Consider the following 5,160-nt stretch of genomic DNA (forward strand, 5'->3'; position numbering starts at 1 on the left):
AGATAATAGATGCTCATTGGTTAGCGGGGATTTCATTTGTGCAGCAAAAGAAGGCACACATACACTTCATGTTTTCTTCTCTAGAGTAGTTTTATCCACATTTTCAATAATGAAATCTAGTATTTTGTTTTTTACAATGATAAATTTATTTTTACGAGAGACGAACATCCAATAGCTTAAAAACATAATGAGAAGTTAATGTGAGAATACTTTTAAGTGTATTATTCTATTAATCACAACTACATCTACATATATTTAAAGATAAAGAACCACACATATACACATATATGAGAAATTATTCAATATACAGGCAATAATTGATGAAATACTCATCTTGGTGAGGTGGGGACTTTCAAAAGATTAAATTGGACTCAGATCATGAGTATCCTTTGATAAAAAATGCTTAGATTTTACCCACCATTAATAAGGGTGCTTAAAACCAGCTAGAGATGGAATCAATGGGTTTTGGAATGAGGAGTTGGGGGAAGGGGAAAAATACTTCACCTGAACACTCTTAGGTCAGCTGGGCATTACTCATATGCACAGCTATGAGTGCATATATGAGGCTAAACCAACATGGGAATAGCAGTGAACAAACTGAGCAAAATTCTATTTATGTTATGAAAAATGACTTTTTGTATTTTAATATCTTGTGTTTTGAATAAAAGAGTGATCTAACATATGGACTTGTAGACAGGGACATTTCCTTGAAATACAAAGAATGTGAACTTGATTTTGAGGAAATTCAAATACATTTTTATTGTACATAAAGGCAGATAGCTTTATTTAGGGTATACTACTTATTACTTATAAACATGTAAAGTAAAGCCTGTTGTATTAAAAAAAAAGTCTTATGTATAGAAGGTAAGCCCTTGTGTCTTGTTTCATCTTTTAAACTTTTTTATAGTACGGAATCCTTCCATAGTTTAACCTAGAACTAAATACCATCTTCAGATAGAAGTTTCAGTGAACATACAGACATGTATGTGTTTTGAGGGAAGATGTTTCCTGGCTCTGTAAGTATGAAATGATTTCCTAAGCTAATTCTTAAGGCTTATATGCTATAAGACTTTTCTTGAGAGGACATATTAGAACTGTAATATTTGAAAATGCAGAATGCAGTGGTTGATTCAAATACAATTGATTTTCTGCTGAGTCTGTGGGAGACATTCAGTATCACACCAAAACCCAAAAAAATCCCACAAATCTACATATGTAATTTGACACTTCTGATTCACCGGAGGCAGGAATAATGGTAGAGTAGAGGTAATGGAAGTCAAAATAACAGCACCTAAGTGAAATATTTGCATAATGAGTTTGGAATTGACACTACATTTTCTACATGTAGTAAGAATAGTAGAGTGAATTAAATGAAATGTTGAGGTAACAGCACTAGATCATATTGCACTGTATGCTGCAAACATTAAGCAATTTGAAAGGTTAATGAACAAAGCAATGGTTCTCTGTAAGGGCCTCCAGAAAATATTAGCAAACAACAAAATGAAACTGCCTAGAGCATGAGAAAAGATCAATAGAGCACTGTTTCTTTCTTTCTTTTCCCAGTGCTCTGTGAATGAAACAATAGCAACTTCAACATAAGGTGTGTGCTAAGAATTGCTAACTGGATGGATTAATTGCATTCAGGCTTGTCTCAAGCCAGCCATTCCTTATAACTTTTCATTAATCCTCAAGAAATGCCTTTTGCTTCACTTGTTTTTGCCAAAATCCTGCTAAAGTAACAATATAATAAATCTTTTCAGGACTTAATTATTATTAAACAAATTAGATACAGGACCAAAAAACTGTTTCCAAAGATAAAGCTGTTAATTAATGTAATTATAGGTTGGAAATATTTTTATCAGTCTGCCCCAAAAAGGTCAGCCATCTTCTATTTCTTTCCTAAACTATAATTTACTCCCTTGCCATTACATCTTTACAAAAAGTAAAGTTTGTTCAATGTGTGTTTGATATGGACCCTAGACCAGTGCATCTCAAACTTTAATGTGCATAAGAATCATCCTGGGATCTTGTTAAATGTGGATTCTGATTCAATAGGTCTGGGATGTCCATATACTCCACATTTCTAACAAGCTCCCAGTTGGTGCTGATGTTGCTGAGATGGGGAACACGCTTGGAGTAGTTACCCAAAAGGCTTCAAAAGGACCTGGTAATCATATTTGTGTACTAGTGCTCCAGGGAAGGGTAAGGGTGGAGAGAGGGAGGTTTAAGGTGGGTGCTGGGATGTTTGCCAAGAAAAACTGGGAAGAAGAGAGAGGGTAATCTGATACGCATTCCACATGTACCCTTGGTTTAATGGGGTGAGAGGAAATGGTTCCTCACCTGTGAAGCACTCCAGGCACTGTGCTCCCTGCTGGGATACAGTGATGAGCTTAAGATGTTCAACCCCATGCTCCTTTTGAAGCTTGAAGTCTGTGGAAGACCCTTTGTCTTTTCTGTCAGCAGCTGAATGATGGGATTAATAATGATAAGATGGAAATAATATATTCTTAGAATTAGATAGAGGTTCTAGTTCTCTTTCTCTTATGACTAGTTCTGAATGAATGAATGTGGGAAACAGCCTATCCGGGTCCAGTTTTCCCGTGAATTTTTGAGAGAATTATCAGGGTTCCTAAGACCTTCAAAATTACATGTTTATAACTATGAAGCATATGACTCTAAAGTAATACTTTTTTTTCTAATACCAAACTTTTTTTTAATTCTGCAATTTAAATTAGTCACCTTGGAAATTCACTACTCCAAATATATTAGGGGCTGTGCTTTTGGAATTTCCTGCAGAGCCAGTTTCAGAGTCACCAAAAAATAAAGTGACATTATTTTATAGTTCCTATTTAACTGACATAAAGCGAATTAACCCTTCAAACAGAGGAAAATCAGAAAAGTTTGAGAAGTTGTAAAGTCTTTGAGACTAGGTCCCATATCTACTTTATCTTTGTATTTTCCATAGCAGGATTTCTTAAACTGTTTTGTTTATAAGCATCTCCTGAAGTGCATGCTGAACATACATACTTCTGGGATCAACTCTAATTCTTATTTCTGTACGAAATAAGAATCTCCAAGATAATTCTGTGGGGTTTTGTTTTGTTTTTACCAAGGCAAATCTAATGGTCAGGGAAATTTAGGTAAATTATTCTACATATAGCATTGCACACAGTGTTTGGTACAGAGAAGTTGTTCAGCTGTTAACTGAACAACAGAATGAAGAATGAATAACAAAAACGTGTCACCTAAGTGGTAAATTGCCATTTCTGCACCTGTAAACAGAATGCATTAGTTACCTTTAGAACTTAAGACTTGTGTTTTCTTTCTCTTTTAAAGAATGACATCTGTTTTTTGATTGAGATAAGATCTCACTCTGTCTCCCAGGCTGGAGTGTAGTGGCAGTTAAGGCTCTCTGCAGCCTTGACCTCCTGGGCTTAAGTGATCCTCCAACCTCAGCCTCCCAAGTAGCTGGGAACACAAGCATGTGCCATCATGTCCAGCTATTTTTAAAAATTTTTTTTGTAGCAATAGTGTTTGCCATGTTGTCCAGGCTAGTCTTGAAATCCAGGGCCCAGGTGATCCGCCTTCCTCAGCCTCCCAAAATGCTGAGATTAAAGACTTGAGCTACCGCTCCTGGCCATATGAGTTGTATTTTCTGTGCTCCCATCTCAAATCTTTTCTATTCAGGTCAAGGGTCATAAATGAATCCTTCTGTACCACCAGACTTTAGGTTCCATGAGGAGAAAGACTGTTATACACTATTCTATCTCTAGTACCCCAAATAGCAACTGTACATAAATATTTATTGACTTGAACTCAACTGCAGTGCATAGCTTAGATGACAGTCTGGTTAGTTTAACTGTAAATAGTTCCGTGGTCATCACTTAAAATGCCTCCACTTAAGAATTTTTGTTCAGCCCAGAACAACTGAGTGTAATGTTCTGATCCCCAGAAATTAACTGTACTTTTCTCTCGAAGAGCAAACCTGAACTCAGAGCTATGAAATTCTTTGACCTCACACCTCTGTAACTTCTCAATCATGTGGTCACTGTCATATGTGCCTAATGGGAGTTTGTGTGCTGCAGTATTCCTCTCTAGTGGGTTATGAAAATCCACCTGTCAGAACACTCCACAGTGTGCTAGCATTCCTGCTCCCACAGAGAGATTGATTCTGTTTCCCTTGAAGCTCTGCTCTGGTCTTCTGCTTTCCAAGCAAATTTTCCGTTGTTTATCTGTTCTTTTTCCCCCTTCCTTCCTCCTCCCTCTTCCCCATTCCTCCTTTTTTTTTCTCTCTCTCCCTTCTCCCATCATTCTTCTCTCTAGATCTTATCTCTTCATTTTTACTCCTTCCAAAGCCATGGGCAGGGAGAAGGGTACATAGTAGGTAAGAGGACAGCATCCTGCTTTGGCTTATCCACCTGCTTAATCCTCAGACATGAGCATCAAAGGCATTGCAGGATCAGCTGGACTATGCAGGTGAGGCTGTGCCCACATGCTGGACCTTTGTCTGCAAATTTTGCTTGACAGGAAAATGCTCAAAGTTGGAAAGGCCACAGTGAACAGTGAAAACTCACCCAAAACGGGCTGGAACACTGGGGAGCAACTTGAGTCAAGGACGCTATCAGTAAAGAGAGATAGAAGAAAATTCACATCAATGCTGAGAAGAAAAAAATCTGGGGTAAAGTAAGCTGCTTTTTAAAAAGCCTCAAAGTTGAGCAAAATATGATCTATAGATAAAACACTAAATGCAAAAGAAGCAACATCAGCTAACAGATTTGATAACCAACAGCATTGATTTGGATCTGATTGAAATAAAAAACTGTAAAATCTGTATACTATAAAAAAGGTGCTTAGTGGCCAAATATGAAAATAAATTTGGATGTTTTCTTCCTACTAAATGAGTACAGAATCATTTAAGAAAAGTATTATTTTCATGAGAAGTTAGGAGAAAAAAAGTTTTTTTTTTCTTATTATACTTTAAGTTTTAGGGTACATGTGCACATTGTGCAGGTTAGTTACATATGTATACATGTGCCATGCTGGTGTGCTGCACCCACTAACTCATCATCTAGCATTAGGTATATCTCCCGATGCTATCCCTCCCCGCTCCCCACAACCCACAACAGTCCCCAGAGTGTGATGTTCCCCTTCCTGTGTCCA

At 37.1% G+C, this 5,160-nt stretch overlaps 1 annotated feature.

Moving 5' to 3' along the window:
- Nucleotides 2,027–2,624: an enhancer, noted in NCBI's record as "OCT4-NANOG hESC enhancer chr5:86011842-86012439 (GRCh37/hg19 assembly coordinates)". NCBI's record gives its function as "activates a minimal SCP1, AML or CMV promoter by ChIP-STARR-seq in naive H9 embryonic stem cells {active_cell/tissue: H9 hESC(naive)}" and the evidence as "EXISTENCE:reporter gene assay evidence [ECO:0000049][PMID:30033119]".

Source organism: Homo sapiens, chromosome 5 (genome assembly GCF_000001405.40).
Source record: "Homo sapiens chromosome 5, GRCh38.p14 Primary Assembly".
NCBI classification, from domain to species: Eukaryota; Metazoa; Chordata; class Mammalia; order Primates; family Hominidae; genus Homo; species Homo sapiens.